This window comes from Homo sapiens, chromosome 8 (assembly GCF_000001405.40).
Source record: "Homo sapiens chromosome 8, GRCh38.p14 Primary Assembly".
NCBI classification, from domain to species: Eukaryota; Metazoa; Chordata; class Mammalia; order Primates; family Hominidae; genus Homo; species Homo sapiens.
Window position 1 is genome coordinate 19,534,535 of NC_000008.11, and position 21,797 is coordinate 19,556,331.

Below are 21,797 nucleotides of genomic sequence, written 5' to 3' on the forward strand. Positions count from 1 at the left end.
GTAGATGGTGGTGCACAAGTGGGGAAAACACACCAATCATGACCCTGCAGGTACCATTCAGCCAGGGGCCAGGGAAAATTAAATGAAATCCACCAAGAACTATTTCTTGGCATGACTAAAAGCAGACGGGAATCGAAAACCGAATCAGAAACGAGAAAGCCCCAAGTGACCTAAACTCTCTCACACACGTCTAAAATGCTCAGTGAATGACAGTTTAAAGAGGCGTAAAAATGCCTAGAAGAAATAAAATAATCGTCATAAGCAGTTTGTTAGAACTAATCTTGCATTTGGCAATCTTTTTTCTTCAAGTCAAGTGGGGAGTTTGTAATCCAAACAGCCTTGGTGATTATAACCATATATTTTGTGTCTATCCATTGCACTTCGCCATATTTCCTCCCAGAAGAAGCTTCAAATCCCTGACCACTGCCGAAATATATGTGGTGGCTGACACCACCAAAAGATGTTGCCAGGTTGAAGTAAATAAAAAGACAGAGTTAGCAGTGAGTATCAGGGAGTATTTGGAAAGAAAAGCAAAGGCTTAAAACCATCTGTGCTGAGAGAAAGAATGTGAAGAAATAGGTTCCTAACACATTTAAACATTTTAAACCTATTTCCAAATTATCATCCCTGTGCCTGCTACTGACATATAAATGACAACATTTGAAAAAAAAATAGAAAAGAAATATTATTTCCTATGTTTAATTTTATGAAATCTGGCTCTCTAGAAGCCTGAAAATTTCAGCGTGTTCTTCTAGCACCTCAAAGAAGGATTCATCATCCAAGATGTCCCTTAAGCTATTTCTAAAACTAACGGCTCAAGATAACTTAGCCATTAACAACTTCTACTCCAAAAGAGCAGTGAAAAATTAGTTAAAAGTTGATGACTATTTTAAAAGGATCTCTCTATAAGGGGTGATTTACCAGTTGAACTCTCCTGACTGGAGGGTTTAGACAAAATACACTTATATAAACTAGTTCTCAAAATCACTAGTTCAATTAAATGTCCATTAATAACAATAAAACTTTGAATATTTAAAATCATTTAAACAATGATCAACCAATTCAGGTAGTGCTCCAAGTCAATTTTCAGAAATTTAAAAACTAAATATGATTCTGATTGTAAGATGATGAATTGAACCCATCCATTTAATCTGATGTAATACACCATATTAGCAAGCCATAGAAGGAAAAAAATCACATGATCTTATCAACTGATGTCAAAAAACATTTGAAAAACTTCAACATCCATTCACAATTTAAAACTCTCAGAAAAGCAAGAATAGAGGGAATTTCCTCCACTGGATAAGGAATATCTACAATAAACCTACAACTAACATTATACTTAATGGTGAAATACTAAATACATTCCTTTCAGACTGGGAACAAAGCAAGGATGTTAATTTTCACAACTTTTGATAGATCTAGTACTGGAAGTTCTAGCCAATGCAAGTGAAGAAAAAGAAAAGGCATACAGATTAGAAAGGAAGAAGTAAAACTGTCCATTTTTGCAGAAGACATGATCTATATAGGCAATGCCAAGTAATCTACAAAAAACTCCTTGAGTAAGTGAGTGAGTCCAGCAGGAACAAAGGATATAAGATCAATATATGACACTTAATTGCATAATGTAAACTATAAACTTTGGGTGATGATGATGTAAAATGTAGATTCATCAATTTAACAAATATATCACTCTGGTTGGGAATGTTGTTAACAGGGGAGGCTACACATGCGTAAAGGCAAGGGGTATATGGAAAATCTTTGTACCTTCTTCATTTTGCTCTGAACTTCAAAATTTTGTAAAAAATGTTAAAAAAAACAAATGCATCTCCACACATAGCAATCAACATATGGACACTGAAATTAAAAATACAAGAGCATTTATAATCACTAAAAAAAATTTAAATACTTAGGTATAAATCTAACAAGATATGTACATGCCTTATGTGCTGAAAACTACAAGACACAGATGAAAATTTAAAAATCTAAATGAATAGATGCATGGATTGGAAAATGTAATCAGGAGTTACATGACTCAACAGGAAATAAATTCTCTTCAAATTGATATATAAATTTAATATAACTCCTATAAAAAATCTCAGCAAGATTGCTTTGTACATATGAAGATTATAGAATCTACGTAAGAAAGCAAAAGAGCTAGAACAGCAAATAATTTCAAAAAGAAAAATGAAGTGGGAGAAATCAGTCTACTAGTTTCAAGAATTATTATACAGCTACAGCAGTTGAGACTGGCAGAAGTAGTGGCAGAGAGATAGATATACAGAACAACAAAGTAGAATAGAGAACCCAGAAATAGGTACAACTGCTACGTCCAACTGCTTTTTCACAAAGGTACAGAAGTAATTCAACGGGGGTAAACAGCCTTTTCAACAAATGGTGCTGGTTCTGGAGCAAGTGAATATCCAATCTGAGAATCAAAAATAAAATCCTAAATCCCCCTCCAACCGACAAACTGATCTCCTCTTGGCCAATGGGATCCCAGAGAAACCTTAAAAATCTGAGTTCCTAGCCATGACAGCAAGGGAGGTCAGACACACCTCAGTATGTCCCTTCCTTATTAACCTTTAAGCAGAATTCTTTCCTCATGAGTAAGCAGAAACTAGCTCTGGAAAACAAGAAATGGTTAATTTGTTTCTTTATTACCTTGAGCCAATCATTTGAGGCTGTAACTACACTCCCCCTCCTTCTTTGCAGTTTTGATGGGACAGCTCACCAGTTCCACAATTCATCCCCCTCCTAAAATGTCAGTCTCTAAGCCAGTTTGTCTGACTCACAGAGGGTGTGCAGTAAACGGTCTTCGTGGCTTCAGAGGGCTGAAAACTCCACCCTTCGATTATGGTAAGGCTGCCATTTTTTAAAGCATGTGAACCTTGAAGAGGCATAAATCTCAATTGCTTCTTTCTCCTTTCATAAATATTCATGACTTATTATTCAATATGTACATTTGACCACCCCACTCAGCATAAATTCCTGTTCCCTTTACCCCTCACTCAAAGTGTCTGCTTTTGGCTTCTGCCAGAGACTACCCTTCCAAGCCTACAGGATGGGAAGCCTGCAGGCTGCAACCCTTTATGCGAAATAAAGCTCCCCTTTCCAAATTTATAAACCCAGTGATCCTTCAGTTGACAAATCCATAAGCAAACAAAAGAAAAAGGAACATCAACCTAAGTCTCACACCTCATACAAAAATTAAAATGCATCCCAGAGTTAAATGTAAGAGATTAAACTTTTAAAACTTTTAGGAAAAAACATAGGACAAAATCTTTGAGATCTAAGAGTAGACAAAGTACTATTTGACTTGACACCAAAAGCATAAGAACTATCAAAGAAACATACATTGGACTTCATTAAAAACTTTTGCTCTGCAAAATTCTTTGTTAAGATAATGAAAAGATAAGCTATGGACTGGGGAAAATATTTGCCAACTATGTATCTAACAAAGGACTAGCACCAACCTTTAGTCAGATATAAAGAACACTTGGTGGAGTGCAGTGGCTCATACCTCTAATCCCAGTGTTTTGGGAGGCTGAGGCAGGAGGATGCTTGAGGCCAGGAGTTCAAGATCAGCCTGGGCAACAAAGCAAGATGATACTGCTACAAAAAATGAAAAAGAGAAAATAAAAGTGAGCCAGGCATGGTGGCATGTGCCTGTAGTCCCCTAGCTACTTGAAAGGCTGAGGCAGGAAGATTGCTTGAGCCTAGGAGTTGGAGGCTGTAGTGAGCTATGATTGTACTCCATCCTGTGTGACAGAGCAAGATCCTGTCTGAAAAGGGAAAAATAAAAACCCTCAAGATTCAACAACATAAAAAAAAAGTCATATAATTAGAAAATGGGCAGAAGACATGAACAGACATTTCACTGTGGTAGAAAATCAGCTAGGAGGCCAAAGCAATGATGCAGGCAAAAGATACTTGTAATTGGAATGAGAATGGGGGCAACAAAAGTAGAGAGCAATGTATGAACCTGACCTCATGTCGAACGCAGGATTAAAGGACTGGGTAATTTGCATGGGGAAGTGAGAAGGAGGAGGCCTTCAGGATAACATCAGCCAACATTCGGTGCATAAAGGTTTAGTTTCTTGAACTGAGGGAGACCGGGGGAGGTACAGGCTGGGAAGAAACAGCCATGACTTATACTTTGGGCAAGACAAGCTGGAGATGGCTGGAAGATCAATTGAAACAGCAGGATTTGTGGACTTCACTCTGCACATCTGGGTCAAGGTTATAAAGTAGGCCTCCTATCCTGGTTCCGTTGCTTCCTAGATACCCCTGCCCCCAGACTCTGTGTCTCCTCACTGAGCCTACCAAGGTCAACCTTGCCGCTGAGCTAGTGTGTGTCCATTTGCTCTGCCTGGACCGCTCATCCTGAGATGTTGTCCCTCCTGGCTCCTTCTCTTCTGTTAGGTGTCAGCTGAGATGGTTTCTCCCAAAAGACCTTGTGCTGGGCATACAGGAGAAACTACAACTTCACCACCAGACACTCTGTATCACATTTTGTTATATTTTCTTTTTATATTTTTAGTGTATATATTTAACATGTACAGCTTGATGTTTTGATATACATATACCAAGTGAAATGATTACTATAGTCAAGCAAATTTACACACCTCACAGAGTCAGTGGGTTGTGTGTGTGTGTGGTTAGGAATCCCTAACATCTACACCCTTAGCAAACTTGCAGTACACAATATCATCAACTGTAGTCCTCATATGTATTAGATATCCAAATTTGCTCATTCTACATAACTACAAGTGTGTACCTTTTGACCTTCATAGAAAGAAACTATCTGAAATTAATCTTATTAATGTTCTTATTTATTATCTGCCTTCCCTTCAAGAAAGCTAAGTCCATTAGAACAGGGATCTTCCAAGTCCTATATTCTACCGTAACCTCTGTCCTCAGCACAGGGCCTGGCATATAGAAAGCACTGAATAAGTACGTTTTTGACTGGAAGGGAATTTAAAGCAAGGCTTCTCTGAAAGTCATGAATATCAGGAGAATTGTTAAGTAGAAAAAGAGCCAAGCAATATAATGCAACCAAGACTGTCCTGATAAATGTATACTTTCCAGATTAAAGGAGGTGGCAGTCCTACTAAATACTGCACTGTCAGGCCACAACAGGAGTATGCACAGTGATATGTGACACAGCAATATTTATCCTTGAGAAAAAAATGGAAACAAGTGACACTAAAAATGTTGGCCACATTGACTGTGATTCTCCACCCCCTTCCAGAGGCGATGCCCCTCCTACACCCCTGCTGAGGGGAGTTCTAGGCTATTAAACACAGATGGGCAGTGACATGGCCTTGGAGGGAGGGGGACAGGAGGGGAGATACCTATGAGGTAGCCTGGAAAGAAAGTTCTGCCTGAGAGGAGTTGGGGTGAGTAGCTGGCTCCATCAGACTCCTCCCTCTTGAAAGAAGAAATACTGAGAGAACTAGTCAACTAGTTAGTGGAGGTTACCCAAAGACACAGAGAGAGTAGCAGAGCCACAAAAGACTAAAGATCATGAATTCCTAACGCTAAACAACATCATTCCAGTTGTCCCTAATCCTGAAAAAAATGGCTATTCCCATGGCATGTGTTTTACAATACCCCAGTGCTTCATATTATTTTGGAATTGTTTCCTTGCTTCCAAAATAGTCTAATGACCTAAATACGTGACCAGAACATCATGTCCTATCCAGTTAATTATGCCCCTTCTGTCTGCTGAATTATCATGCAGACGTTAAAAAGGCTATTAAAGGGACTGCATGGTAACATGGAAAACAGTATTTATTCTTTAGTGTTACCTGGGTCGGGATTATAAAGTAGGTCTTCTACACCCCTCCTCTTGCTCCCTGGATTCGTACCCCATCGGCTCACTGTGTGGATACAAAAGTGACTAAAATTTGAGTTCACAGTTTCTGACACACAGTATCTGCTTATAAACACTTGTTTTGAATAAATGCTTGCACTGGGATTATAACTTAGCAGAGACCCTTATGTATCAGTAAGAGACTGGAAGGAAAAGCAACATAAGGAAAAATTTCAAATGTCTTAATGTGGTGGGCCAGGTTCTTTGTGATCTGATCTCTACTTCCTTCTCCTGCCTCAACTCTCAGCCCTTACGTCCTAGATTCTACGCTTCAGCCACAGTGCTATATGCTGTGGATTTCTCAATGGGTCACGCTGTCTTCTTGCCTGGAGAGCTTTGTTCACCCTGCTCCCTTTGCCCAGGAAGCCTTTCCTCTCCCTCCACCGGATCATCTTTCTCCCTTTGCTGGAATAATCCCCATACATCCTTCAGTATCAGCATGGATGTCACCTGCCAGGATGACTCATGTGAGTCTAGGTTAAATGCCCTGAGGTAGCACTCCTCCACTGAGCTATAGCTGCCAGTTCTCTCAACACTCTCCAAGCCCCTACCCTGTCCCCAGACTGTAGGTCATTTAAAGAAAGAATGACATCTTAACTCTTTATCACCTTCACTATAAATTATGCTCATGATGCATGTGGCAAAATTATACTAATGTATTTTCTCTGGGTGATAATTTTTTTTTTTAATGGAGTCTTGCTGTGTCCCCCAGGCTAGAATGCAGTGGCATGATCGCAGCTCACTGCAACCTTTGCCTCCCAGGTAAGGGAGAAACTCTAGCCTCAGCCTCCCAAGTAGCTGGAACCACAGGCACATGCCACCAAACTTGGCTAATTTTTTTTTTTTTTTTTTTTTTGAGACGGAGTCTTGCTTAGTCACCTAGGCTGGAGTGCACTGGCGTGATCTCGGCTCACTGCAAGCTCTGCCTCCTGGGTTCATGCCATTCTCCTGCCTCAGCCTCCCGAGCAGGTGGGACTACAGGCACTTGCCACCACACCCGGCTAATTTTTTTTGTATTTTTAGTAGAGATGGGGTTTCACTATGTTAGCCAGGATGGTCTCGATCTCCTGACCTCATGATCCGCCTGCCTCAGCCTCCCAAAGTGCTGGGATTACAGGTGTGAGCCACCGTGCTCAGCCAATTTTTTTTTTTTTTTTTTTTTTTTTTAGTAGAGACAGGAATTCACCACATTGGCCAGGCAGGTCTCCAGCTCCTGACCTCAGGTGATGCACCCTGTGTTGGCCTCCAAAAGTCCTGGGATTACAGGCCTGAGCCACTGCACCTGGCCTGGCTGATACATTCTTTATTAAGTAATTTTTACTATTGTTAGTTTGGCTTTTGTAAGCTTTCAGTGTTTATCTTAATAAATGTATTTTGTAATAAAACATGTAATTCTTCAATGTTTCTATTTTCCTATTCTTAAAATAACTGTGTGCAATAGAAGAATGAAGGGCCACTGTTAAATAAAAATCCCTGTAGGATCATGTCAAATATTGCTCCTGGCAGTTCTTATTTGAATCTCATAACATTTCACAGAAAAGGTCTTCAGTTATCACCAAATACTGGAATGGAGGCAAGATGTGTTTACACAAAAGAAGAGAAAACTTTGGCATGGATAGATCTTATGATAAAAAATATTCTCTAACCAAGGAGATTGTCTAGTTCTTGATGGAAGCAAAAAGAATAAATGACAAGGAATTGTTTTCCAAATGCTTTCTTCTGTGAGCTCCTTGATTTAGACAAAATTTCATTCCAAGTACTAAAGAAAGAAGAGAGACAGCACAAGAAACACACACACACACACACACACACACACACACACACAGGGTTATTATTCACTGAAGCCTGTTAGTTAAGCTCAAAGGAAAGCCATTGAAATTCCCTATAAAGAAAACACTGTCCGTCAAACCAGGACTGTGTCACTTAAGCCATAATAAGAAGGGAAGAATGTTTATTTCACAGAAGACTGGAACAGTATTAGCGGCAAAGGAATCATTAAATATTTTAAACAAGAGGCTCCATAGTGGGGTTCCATGTGACAGTCTCCCAGTCCCAGAGCCCTCGGTCTATTTTTCTCCTTTCCTGCACAAGCGCCTGCTGCCCCGACTCTTTTCAACCTCCCAGGTTCTGAGTGACACCCTGAGAAATCCTAATGGAGTTACCAAAACAAGAGATGATGATTAATTTCTATGGGGGAGTTTTAAGAATCTGTGTAGAGATGCAAAACACATTTGACTCCTAGTAGGAAGGTAAATAGGCGGCCACTTCTGCCAGCCATCTCTTCATTATCTAATCATTTTTATTAATTCATCTATCCAAAACCCCATCATTTTTTTTTAGGATAGCTGTCACGCAAAACAAAACAAGAAGAAAACATAATTCATAAGTTGTTTTAACGGCATAAATGGCTCTAAAGCAGTGGGGTTAATTTTATGAAAGTAACATTGTAAGCATTTTAAGAAGCCCTTCTGTAGATTCCAATTGTTTCCTGATAAATTCATTTGGGTTTTCCTACTTCAATAATGAAATATCAGAGAGGTATGAGCTATCAACAAGCAGAGAGCATGGTCTAGACTAAGCTACCAACAGTAAGACTCAATTTAAATTGTATGAAACCTAAGTCATAACTTTGGAAGCAGTCAGTTACATATGCAAAATATAACCCAGATTATGACTGAGTTATAACTAACAAATACTAGGCTCACGGAGTTTTCAAAACTAGATGTATATTATATACAGAATCCCCAGATACTATCATTTTCAGCTCCAGATGCCCTTATCAAATGTGAAGCCTAATCTTGATAGCTCAGAGAAATGATCACATTGCCCTCCCCCATCCTATACTTCAGGTTCAGTGTATTTTTGCAAACTGTTTACCAAGATGAATTGCAGTTCTGTGCAGGAAAGTGTTAACATAGCACGCCTGAGGCTTTCCTTAGAAAGTCCTGCAAGATCCGCCCTTGACAATGTCTGGGAACGGGGCTTGTAAAAAGTTCTCTATACGTATGTGAAGAGTTCTCTAACTGATAAGGTTGTTTTGCTGTGCCTAGACTGTTTGTAGAAACTGTGATTTACAGTGAGCCCCTACTTTCTTTCTGAGAGCCTGGTATTTGGCAGGGGTTGCTACACAGAGAATGCCTAAGTGACTATCTTCCTAATATGAACCCTAAACTCACAGTCTCCAGTGGGGTTCCACAGGCAGAAACTGCATACATGTGGCTGCATGTTTCCCAGCTGGGGAAGGTGCACTCTTTATGTAGCCTTTCATGTACAGTGCACAGGAAGCTATACATGGATTCCTCCAGACTACACTCATCTCTTTTTCCCTTGGTGACACTGTATGCATTCTTGCTATTTCACTGCAATTAATAATAACTGTAAGTGCAACTAAATGCTGATCCTGAGTCCTCCTAGTAGGACTCAAAATGTAGATGGCCTTGGGGACCCCTGAAACAAGTCCAAAAACAAAATACGACCTTTTACCAGTCGATCATTAACATTTGTTAATTTTTCTAAAGAGGAAAAGACGGTGCCAGTATTAAATTCTTCCTGATCAGCTTAGAGTTTTAGGAGAGAGACATAAAGACACTTGTTCTTCCCTCACGAAATACATCATAGCCTGATGCTGCTAATGTAATGGGTTTTCTATTGTGGGGACATAACTTTTTTTTTTTTTTAAACAAGTTGTTTTGCTGCTGTTTAGTTTATGGGAAAAGAATAGTTTGGTGACCACAAGGACATGGCTGTCAAACTATAGATTTAGACAGAGCCTGAATAACAAATCTGTTCCTTGCCAGAGGCAACAAAATAAAACTGAGCAGACAGCTGGAATATGTGCCACCACCACTGAGACCACAGTTTTCTTTCTCTAATCCAATCTTAAGGAAATATAATTTAATAGAACTAATCTCTACTATTTAAAAATATCTATGTAGTTTAAAAGACATTGGGAACAAATCAATGAATAACTTTTATTATTGAAATACTGAACATACTAAACATGAAACTTAGATGTTTAAGAGTATGACATTTTTATTTTTTTCTCCAATGCTGAAGGAAAAAGCTAACAATTTCGTGTGTTTTCTTTAACTACTTGAAAAGTCCATTAAATGAAACCAAAGATAACTCCGAACAGATATCCACCTGATTGAATGACCCTTTTGCTTTTTAACCTCTCTGGTGTTCAGAATTCTGGAGAGGATTTGAAACTGCCTTATCCAAATATTTTGTTATAATTCTTAAAGTAATGTGGAACAGGGCCCCATACCTATGCTGAGCTTAGCTATGCTAAATTCCAGGGGTGAATTAATAAACCTCTAGTAGCTGTAAGTTTAAATGATTCTTTTGTACAGTTTTAACTGCATAATTGGTCCAATTTTCATTTATCTTGCTGGAAAAATACAGACATCATCATTCTCCAAGTAAAAGCTGTGTATCTGAGATATAAAAAAAGTTCCCCAAGAAGACAACAAAGGAAGAGGCTATCGTTTACACACAGGACACCAGAAGTTCCTTTCCTTTCAAAAAGGAGAAGTTTTCAAAGAAAAAATGGGAACCAGGGGAGAAGCCAGTCAGTCCATCCTTTCAGACATTTTTTTTTTTTCCAATAACTTAGCTCCAAAGACCAGGATAAATCACGACGACACAGCGACTCCTGGGAGTTGTTCTGAAGCACAGTGAAGTCACTCCATGTCACCCTGGAAGCTAGAAAATATATTTTCCTCCAATAAAACTGTTAAAATCCTATCTCTGGACTTGACCCAGTCTTGCCTGTCACCAGGGAGGCCTGTTCATAGCAGTTAGGTGGCTGCCATACTTGGTATCTCCTACTGTAGTGAAATGAGGATGTCCTTGTGGTTGAGCAGAAATGAGATGAATGAAATCCCAGAAAAATCATTATTTTTCTATAAAACAATTAACGTTTAATTGAACATTTAAATTCATAGATAACCCTTTCACGAAAAATGAGATGGGGAAAATTTTCCTGCAGACTTATCTTGGCAAAGCCACCTCATGCCTATAACTTTTGTCTTTGATAATAACTGATGTAGAAAAAGCATAAAACATGATCATTGATTTCTGTCAGATGAAAAAGCAGATGGCAAGTGTCCTGATAGCAAAGACTCTGTCTTACATTTTTATTCCTCCTCAATGCCTAGTATGGTGTTTCAAACATAATATGCATTCAATAAATGTCTCTGGGTCAATGAATGAGTATGCTAAAAAGATAAAGTAGTAAAACAATAAGGGAGAAAAAACGTAAGGAAATGGTTAATGCGAAACTATAACTTTTCCTCCCAAGTCTCCAGGCAACTAAAGTTAGATGACGTTAATGAGACCTGCTGAGAAAAGGATATATATATATATTTGTAAACACACACATTATATATCTATATATATTAATATATGTATACATATATTATGTATATATAATAGTTATATACTATATATTATATATAAGTTATATGCTATATGTGTATACATATATAAGTTTATTTTTCTAAAACAGCAAAACAATGCACAAAAAATAAAATAAAGCTCACAATTTGCAAACTGCATGTATAGTTATAGTGTGTGATTCCTCCACAGATAGCCCAAGAAAATTTAGGTCATACAGTTGTCATACCATTAGATCAAATTTTAATAGTCCTTTTCACTTAAAACAAGAAGGAAGTTTTATAAGGAAACAAGACTCAATATATTTTACACAGTCAATTCAATAGCACAAATAGATATATGCAGATAAATTCAGCAGAATATATTTTTAGTATGCTTTGCCCAATTTCCATATTCACTGATATTTATCTGTCAAGTATATAAATACATAAAACATGATTAATCGTGTTTTTGTAAGTAAGTTGAACATGGCTTTCATATATGCCTAGAGGGCTGTGCTTCAATATTACGGCTTTTATTTTCCCTTCTCCAAAATGGCAACACAATACCCATCTGTCAATCTTATTCCTACTATAATCATCAAGTGGTAATTAACCTCTCTGGAATATTAAGGACTTTGTGGTCATGGACCTCAATAGAACATTGAAATAACTATGCCTCACTACTCTTCAATGAAATAGGGAAGTATCACTAAGAATTAAGGATGGAACACAAAGCTAACTACAAGTTTCTTAAACAAATGTGGCATCAAATTATTTAGAAAATAAATACTTGGAATACCATCTGATGCTGCACAGCCACATCCACTCTCCCAAGTCAGTATTCTCATGAATATTGTTTCTTCCCCCTACCCATTCTTGGGAATATCTGAAATGTACAATAAATATTCTTGTTGCTACTAGCACAGAAATGTAATAAACAAAAACCTATATGAAACCCCTCCAAACTCAGATGAAACCTAAAAAGCAAACACAGGTGACTAGGAAGGCTCCTCTTTACAGAGTTTGAATCTAGACCAAGCTCAGATCCTGCCACCACAACTGAGGTCCCCGGATCAGTGTCACATAAGGTTCAGGGTGCAGAATGATCCTATGGCTTCACAATATCTCTTCACTGTCAAGATGCTCTTCGCAGAGGGAGCTGAGAGTAGCTGAATCATCCATCAGATGCGTCTTCTCTAGAAATACCTGACAGTGATTTTCCAGAAACACCGTCTGAGAACTTACCAGTGTCTCACAGTAGACTCTCCTGGGTTTTCTATACCCAAGAATATAACAAATATAAAGTGATATCCTCAGTCTTTCCAGCAAGAAAAAAAGGCCAGGACACGAAGGGCTCCATGATGCCACAGGACAAAGCAAAAATGCCAGCAGTGTTTTGTTAAAAGTCTGCTCCTCCTTTGCTGGTATTTTTGAGGTGTAATATAACACACAGCCAAGTAAGTGACAAGTAAAAGCTCTAACTGGTCATCTATGGTCCAAGTCTGATAACTAACTGGAATCAGAATGCATTTCAGTGTTTTGTGAATGACATGGCTTGGCTGTGTCCTCACTCAATTCTCATCTTGAATTGTAGGTCCCTTAATTCCCATGTTTTGTGGGAGAGACCCAGTGGGAGATAACTGAATCATGGGGGTGGTTTCCCCATACTGTTCTCATGGTAATGAATAAGTCTCACGAGATCTAGTGGTTTTGTAAGGGGTTTCCCCCTTCGCTTGGCTCTCGTTTCTTTGCACTTGCCTGTCACCATGTAAGACGTGCCTTTAGCTTTTCACCATGATTGTGAGGCCTCCCAGCCATGTGGAACTGTGAGTCCACTAAATCTCTTTCTTTACAAATTACCCAGTCTCGGGTATATCTTTATTAGTAGTGTGAGAACAGACTAATACCGTAGAATACAATAAAGTATACTCTAGAAACTTTCACTTATATCAAGTATAATAGTTAAAAACTTGGAAAAAGGGAGATGGATCACTGATTTGTACAATAAATTCCTTACTAGCAAGTAATACTGAGAAGTGAAAGAAAGAGTAACATTTACATAAAAGGTGATGAGGACCAGATGGCCACTGCCAGACCCTGAGGGATTTGGGTGTGTTGCCAGGGGGTTGGTAGTTATTGATGGGAAAGAGGAGAGAGCAGCTGCCATTTTCCTAAGTTCCCACCATATTCCCGGCATTGTATTAAGTGATTCATACGAGTGATGTAACATCGCTCACATTAACTCTGTGAGGTTGAAAGTCTGGAAATGTCCAAAGCTGGAAGTAGACTATTATTGGATTAAGTATTAAATGTTTCAACTAAATATTGAATTTGGATTATATTTCAGCCAAACACTAATTATTAAAGAGAGGAGAGGCAACTTGCCCATTTCAGTCCAACTGGAATTTTCCTCAAGGATAGCAAATCTGAATTCTAATGATTCTGGCACTTTTTTCTAATGCTTAATATTGAAAATAAAGTTAGACACTAAAATTGCTTAATATTAAAAATTAAGTTAGACAGTAAGTGTGAATAATAAAGCTCTGACAAATTCCAATATCAAATATCAAACCAACCATGACTCTAAACTCATGATTCATATGAGACTAAAAAATAGATTATTTTTCAATATATTCCAAAAACTCACTGCTGTTTTTCTCAAGTATTATTTTTAAAAAATATTTTGTGAAATGCATTATTCACATGAAACTAAACAATAGATTACTTTTCAATATATTCCAAAAACTCACTGCTGTTAGTTTTTCTCAAATATTATTTTTAAAACATTTTGTGAAATATGTTAAAATTTTACATGTGTAAATATACTTTTATATACATGGATTTATTTTAACTTTTATCAAGCACATGATTTTAAAATCAAATGGTACTATAAGACTGACAATTAAAAATAGCAGCCTTTTGCCCTCTCCAACTTCCCTGAGTCCAAATGATCAAAAGACACTTTCAACTCTTTTAGCTGTTTTCTTTAGTATTTATCTTCATATTTTAGGTAACGTTCTTCAACTGCCATGCTTATCCCTTTATTTGAGAGAGGTCCTTGCCCTTTTGCCCTTCTACAGTAGAGTGGTGCAGTCACAGCTCACTGCAGCTCCCGCCTCCCAGGCTCAAACGATCCTCCTGCCTCAGCCTCCCAAGTAGCTGAGACTACAGGTGCATGCCACCATGCCTTATACTCTTTGAAATTTTACAGAGATAGTGTCTCACTATGTTGCCCATGTTGGTCTCCAACTCCTGACATCAAGTAGTCCTCCTGCCTCAGCCTCTCAAACTGCTGGGATTACACGCATAAGCCAGCAAGACTAGCTGCTTATCCTTTTTTTTTTTAATAGCAATTGGTATCCCAGTGTGGAAGATCAGGATTTAGTTCTCTTACTTTTTCAACACACTTTTCCTCTCCATCCTCTCCCCTCGAAAATCCAATCAATTTAACCATTACAATTTTTAGTAACAATAATACTATTTATATAACAGTATTTTGTCTTAAATATTGTTCCTAACTAAGCCCAATGATGCACTGTCATTATAGTTTTCTTAGACAACTTTTTGTTTTTTCTTGCTATTAATAACTGCTTCAATTTTTCATTTGGTTGATTTCTCTATGTATCTAACATTAATTTTCCCCACACTCTAACACAGAACTAGAAAACTGATAGATAAACAATTAGGTACTTTTTCCAATTTCTTTTGTTTTTTTCCTCAGGCCATCCTTCCTGGTCTCTTCATCCCCTGGTCCAATCAAGACAGCCTGTTCTCCAGGCCTGACACAGGTGATGTTCAAAGGTCACCCTGAAACTTCCCCTTTTCTCCCCATCAGGAAACTTTCTTCACTTTCCCCAATTTCCTACTTTTTTTTTTTTTTTTTTTTTTTTGGCGTATTCACTCACCTTCTCCAGAAACTTCCCAAGAAAGGGTGCAGAGGAGGCTAATTTTTGAGACCTTGCATTTCTGTCTGAAAATATCCCTATTCTACCGTTGCATTTGGCTGACAGTTTGACCAGGTAAAGGCTTCAGATTGGTGATCATGTTCCCTGAGATTTGGAAAGTACAGCTGTATTTCTTCTAGGTTCCACTGTTGCTAAGAAGTCAGATGCTGGAATGTTTGCTGAGCCTTTGTATGCGACCTACCTTTTCTCTGTTAAACATTTTTGGGAAATCTCTTTTTGTTTTTAATTCAGACTTCAATAGATGTGTCCTGGAGTTGGTCTTTTTTCTTCCATTCATTGTGCTGGGCACTTAATGTACTCTTTCCACATGGAAATTCATATTTTTCAATTCTGTAGCATTTTTGTGTAGTTGTCTCTTCTGCATTTTCTTCATTCTCTTTCTGAAACTTTGCTTTTTTAGGTTTTTGTTTTTAAGCGAAGGAGTCTTGTTGTGTTGCCCAGGCTGGCCTCAAACTCCTGAGCTCAAGCAATTCTCCCACCTCAGCTTCTCAAACAGCCAGGACAACAGATGTACAGCACTGCACCTGTCTGTGAAACTCATTAGAAAAACAGATTTTGGACTTCTTAAAGTGAGCCTCTTGTATCCTCCTCTGCCATGTTTTCCATCTCTGTGCTTTTATTCTACTTTCTGGGCAATTTCATTCACAGTCCAACTCCTCACTGAATTTTTAATTTCTGTCATCATGCTTCTCATTTCCAAGCCCTCTTTCATGGATGCAATATCTTCTCTAATGTCTCACAGAATACCAATTATAGGTTTTTGAAGTTTTTTTCTTCCCCGCTTTTCCCCTTATTTCCTCTGAGACGTCTTTCCTGCTTATTTATTTGGTCTCATTCCTTCATCTTGGTGACGATCCTCAAATGTATAGTGATCCTTCACTGTCTACCCTGAAATCTAAAACTGTGCATTTAAGTGATGTCACTGGGTGAGGACATAGCCATTTTATTTCGGGGGGCAGGGGCCTTCAAATGTCTTCAACTGGTCTTTCTCAGATGTGAATCCTCTAATCCTGGCATGGTGGAAGATAAGCCCCATTGTCAGAGTTCTGGGTGCTTAGAAGGAAGATAGCACCATTCCATACAGATTTTCACAGAAAACTCCTATTTTCTCTAGCATGCTTTACCCCTACTCTCATTTGTATCTACTGTTTCCAAGTCCAAGGCTTCTGGAAAACATACCTGCAAGGGTATTTGTCCAGACACGTGGTTAGAATGGGCTCCCACTACTCCTTATTCTGACTTCCCAGCAATCACCAGTTTTGGCCTCACCCTTCACATCTGTCTTCTGGCAGAGCTTGTGGTTCTGAAACCACGCCCCAGGGTTAGAAAAGCTATTAACCAGCAAAATTTCAAGAGTTTGTTTTGCAGAACAATGAAGAAAAAAACAACTGAAGAAGAAAAGAGTATGTTACAATTCCCTTATTTACAACAAAGTCGGATAACAGGCTGACACCAGCTGGAACCAACATGGCAGACAGCAGTCTGAGTAGGAAAGACTTGCTCATTGATGAGTGACCTTTGACCTCAGAGAGCCGGAAACTCCACCTTCAGATCATGCTCATTCCACCATTTTCTGAGCAAGCAGCCCATGAAGCATGTCAGGACAACAGCACATGCCCAAAGGCCCTTACCAACCCCTTCCCTTCAAGCCAATCTCTGTGCAGACCCGAAACTCCACTTGCAAAATCTCTCCCTCAATTGGGTGGCAAAGTCAGTAGGGTGAGACAGATTAGAGCATTTCCTCCTGTCTCCCTGTCGGTTCACTGGCAATAAACTTCTCTCCCTGGAAGAACCATGCTTCAGCGTTCGGCTTCCTATTGCGTGCAAGCAAATAGATCCAGTCTGGTTTGCTTACAGTTCCAAGTCTGAAGCTTTCCTAGTTCTGACCACCAATCAATCTGCTTTGGGTTGGCTTTCCTCCCAGTGGGCACTTGGCTTTCGGTACTCTCCCTTCTGCTAATCCAATTCCCACTCAACAATTTGCTTGCCATCTCCCAAAAATTTGTTGACATTCTCACCCACTAAGCCTCATGTCACATTTTCTTTGTCCCTAGGAATTTATATCTTATTTTTTACCTATCATGTTCAGTAGTCTTAGGAGGACAAAGAGATAAACAAATGTGTTCCAATTGTCCTATATAACCGTAAGTTCAAAAATCTTTCCATCATGAAAAAAATTCAGGTTAGAAGTCTTGGTTGGAATAACTCTCTAAAATAGGGTATCATTCCTTTAGGTTAACTAGCACTGGATCATACCCTGGCAAAAGAATTACATCAATTTTTTAGTCTACAAATCATAATTTATAAATGACATGGAGAGATTTCAGATGGGATAAAAAATAGTAATTAGAGGATTTGGAAACTGGCTTAAAAGAGCTAAACAAACAGATTAGATTATACCATGAAAAGAAGACTAATGAGGGATTTAATAATGGCCATTGAGTAGATGAAGAATTATTATAGACACAAGATGGTTGGCCTAATTTCTCTGTTTCCATTTCAAACACAGTAAGAAAGTGGACTTAAGATATCACATAAGGAAAATTTACTTACAGTGAAGTATATTAAATATTACCAGAAGAGGGTGTAGAGTTTTCTTTTCTGGAATAATATTAAAAGTGAAAATGGGCCACTCCTTAAAGGTAAAATGCTAATTTGACAACTCAATTCCTTCCAGCTGCATTTTTCCCTTCCAACAGACCTGCATGCAGAAAATTATCACTCCGAGACCAAGTTTCTTTTTTTTGTCTAATAGAAACATCCTTCTATGGATAAGAAAGATGACTTTTAAAGCAAGCTCAGCTCAGTTTCAAGATACATACTTGCAAGCTCCCATCACTTTTCAGGGAAATTAAAGATGGACTTTTTATACATTAAAAACATGACGACATTCAAAATGTGGATGGCACTTCAATACTGAGATGAAAATTTGTATTGCTGATGTTTTCAATTTTTCTTTGCAACAGATTGCACTGTTAAAAAGTATTAGTTTCCTTGTGTAAAAAGTGTCATGAAAAGAAAGTCTAACTGTAGCTAAACAGAATGCTTATAAGAACAGAATGTAAAGAACTTTTCCTTTCCCATTCACCCTCCCAAGTGAACTGCAAACAGGTACTCCTTCAAAAACGTACTAAGAACAGGAGAGTGGCTGATGAGAGGCCCTGGGGAAAAACAGAGGCAGGGAAGACTGTGCTCAGGATACATGGAAGACACACCCTGGAGAACATAAGGAAGGCTCAAGCACATGACGTCTGCCTCCACTGTGCATTTGATTTTTATGTTATCGTTTTTGTTAAAGAAATATAGTTTTGTGCCCATTTGTTTTTAGTACAGAAATTTGAGCCTGGCCTCACACAAGAATCAATTCCAGACAGACAGAAGACCTCTATGTGAGAAACAAAACAACATTTCTAAAAACAAGTGTAAGATAATACCTTCATGACCTCAGGTTAAAAAGAGATTCCCTAAACAAGACAGAAAAAGCACTAACCCCAAAGATTGGTCCACTGAACCACACTAAAATAAAATTGAAAAAAACCTTCTGTTTATTAAATGGTACCCTAAAGGAACTAAAAGGCAAGACAGAGGGGCAAAAATGTGGCTTCTTCCAATATGAGTGAACCAAAATTTCACTAAATGCCTGTGAGTGGGGAATCAGTACCTGATAAGAAAGCACTCTATCTTCTGGCATTTGGGAGGCCCAAAATGCAAGAGCTTCTCTCGCCTATCCCAAACTCCTATCACTCAAAACAAAGCCTGCCAGTCAAAAAGCTCAAACAATTTATATACAAAAAGCTTAAACCATTTATATACAAAAAGCTCAAACCATATATATATATAAAAATACATTTATGTATATAAATACATATATATATATATATATAAAAAAATATGTCAGCCTTTCTATTACTTCTTATGAATGAGCAGACACCCAAGGATGATTAAGGCACAAAACCAGTGAGGGATTTTAAATTTCAATGTAAAAGAGAAACAAATGGGACCCCAAAGATAATAGAAAGGTCAAAGGAAATAAGAGGTTTCTGAAATGTAATTATTGTTCTCAGAGAGCTGAGAAAACATTGCATTGACAAAATAAGTACAGAATGTCATGAGGAAAATAATCACCGAACAAGAAAGAACTCGTAGAACACACACACACACACACACACACCCAGAATCAATAAAAGCTTGGAAGATAAACCTGAAGATATCTTTCAGAATAGAGAAAAATAAGAAAAGATAACCATCTAATTTCCAGTTTGTCCATTGTTCAACATCCAGTTGGAGCCCCAGAAAAAGTGAAGAAGAAAAATGAGAGAAAATTAGTAAGAGAATAATAGAGAACGAATGAAAAAACAAAGCCCACAGCTGAACATAATACAGGGAAATTTCAGAACTCAAAAGAAAAAAACAATATCCTAAAGGGTTCCAAAGAAAAAGTACAAGTTATCTGCAAGGGAAGGAGAGTGGACTGGTAACAGATTTATCATCAGCAACACTGCACATCAAAAGTCAATGGAGCAATGTCTTCAAAGCTCTGAAGGAAAATAAGTTGGTTAACTTATCAAATCGGTGTTATCATTTTTGGTACCTGGAGAGTCAGGTACACATAACAGAGGCAGACGGTGAGAGGAGCTACAGGAAATAATGCAGGGCCAAGATCCTCACCTTCTAAGTCAGGGACCAAGTGATGCCACCTCTGGGTAATGAAGGAAGATATAAAATAGAAATATACTATTAAGTTACTTAAATAGAGGAACTAAAAATGCGATGCAACCATATTGAGCAAACTGACAGTTTCCAAAACTGATATACCAGGAAATAACTGTAAGCATAAAATTTTCAGATACAATGATAACATCAGAAAAGGCAGTTATATAGGCTGGATGCAGTGGCTCATGCCTAAAATTCCAGCACTTTGGGAGGCTGAGGCCAGTGAATCACCTGAGGTCAGGAGTTCAAGACCAGCCTGCCCTACATGGTGAAACCCCGTCTCTACTAAAAATACAAAAATTAGCTGGGTGTGGTGGCACACACCTGTAGTCCCAGCTACTCAGGAGGCTGAGACAGGATAATCACTTGAACCTGGGAGGCGGCAGTTGCAGTGAGCCAAGATCCCGCCACTGCATTGCAGCCTGGGTGACAGAGGGAGACTCTGTCTCAAAAAAAGATAAAGGAAAGAAAAGAAGAAAGAAAGAAATGAGCCGGGCGTGGTGGCTCATGCCTGTAATCCCAGCATTTAGGGACGCCGAGCGGGGGTGAATCACGTGGTCAGGAGATCGAGACCATCCTAGCCAACATGGTGAAACCTTGTCTCTACTAAAAATACAAAAATTAGCCGGGCGTGGTGCTGAGCGCCTGTAGTTCCCACTAGTCAGGAGGCTGAGGCAGGAAAATAGCTTGAACCCAGGAGGCAGAGTTTGAAATGAGCCGAGATCGCGCCATTGCACTCCAGCCTGGGTGACAGAGCAAGACTCTGTTTCAAAAAAATTAAAAAAAAGAAAAGAAAAGAAAAAGAAGGGTCAGTTATAGGAGTTAAAAGCAGCTCTCTAAGGGGGACCATCAATATCAAATGGAGGCAACTGCCTACAAAAGAGAACCAGGAATGTTTGTTGTGATGCAGGCGAAGGAGGTAGAGTTTGAAGAAAGAAAATGACAAACTATCAGATGCAGTAAGAGAGGTCCACTTTAAAGGGCTATAACTCCCAAACTTTTCGAGATTTCACGTGCTTCCCATAGTACTTTCTGACCTATTTGAAGCATATCCAATACACTGAAGCATAATTCCGATATATTTAGAAAAAAATAAACAAACAAAAAAACAAGAACTTGACACTGGCTCAACTGGAAACACCTGTGAGCATCAAAGCACATCTCTGTGGTTACAATGCTGTTTATTGCTCCCAACTATACATCTTCAGACTTCACTTAGCATGTTACGGGTGGTTAGGTTCCAGGATTATTGAGATCTATTTCTACTCACAATTGCTTATAAAATGAAATCTATCGTCACCTTAATTGCCTGTGCCTAAAAATATAGCATGCTTGTCTTGTGGGAAATATTCAGCCTGGTATGTGAGTGACTGAAATGCAACTCCGTGGAAACACCCCAACTCCACACATTCATCCCCTTGGTAACTCAGCACAGTCACAGAAACTGAAGAAGTAAAATGATCCTCTTTATTTGGCTTCTCGAGTCCCATTTTTAAAACAGCCATCAGGAACCGGCATTCTGTGGTGTGTTTTTTTACCCTCGAAGATAAGAACGATAACACTGAAAGTTGTGATGACAAGCGCAAGCAACATTTGCATTAACAAACAACATAAAAAGGATGATTTTGGCCGGGCAGGGTGGTTCATGCCTGTAATCCCAACACTGTGGGAGGCTGAGGTGGGCGGATTACCTGAGGTCAGGAAAAGACCAACATGACCAACGTGGTGAAACACTGTCTCTACTAAAAATACAAAAAGTTAGCTGGGCATGGTGGTGTATGCCTGTAATCCCAGCTACTCGGGAGGCTGAGGCAGGAGAATCGCTTGAACCTAGGAGGCAGAGGTTGCAGTGAGCCGAAATTG

General features: G+C 38.7%; 1 protein-coding gene across 57 annotated transcripts in view, besides 1 other annotated feature; it reads right to left on the reverse strand.

Annotated features, from left to right (window-relative positions):
* Positions 1 to 21,797, reverse strand: part of CSGALNACT1 (chondroitin sulfate N-acetylgalactosaminyltransferase 1) — a 353,748-nt gene that overhangs the window by 130,374 nt on the left and 201,577 nt on the right. The window lies entirely within an intron of this gene.
* Positions 2,138 to 3,337: an enhancer, noted in NCBI's record as "MED14-independent group 3 enhancer chr8:19394183-19395382 (GRCh37/hg19 assembly coordinates)". NCBI's record gives its function as "activates an origin of replication core promoter dependent on BRD2, BRD4, P300/CBP and CDK7 cofactors, and independent of MED14, by STARR-seq in HCT116 cells {active_cell/tissue: HCT116}" and the evidence as "EXISTENCE:reporter gene assay evidence [ECO:0000049][PMID:35650434]".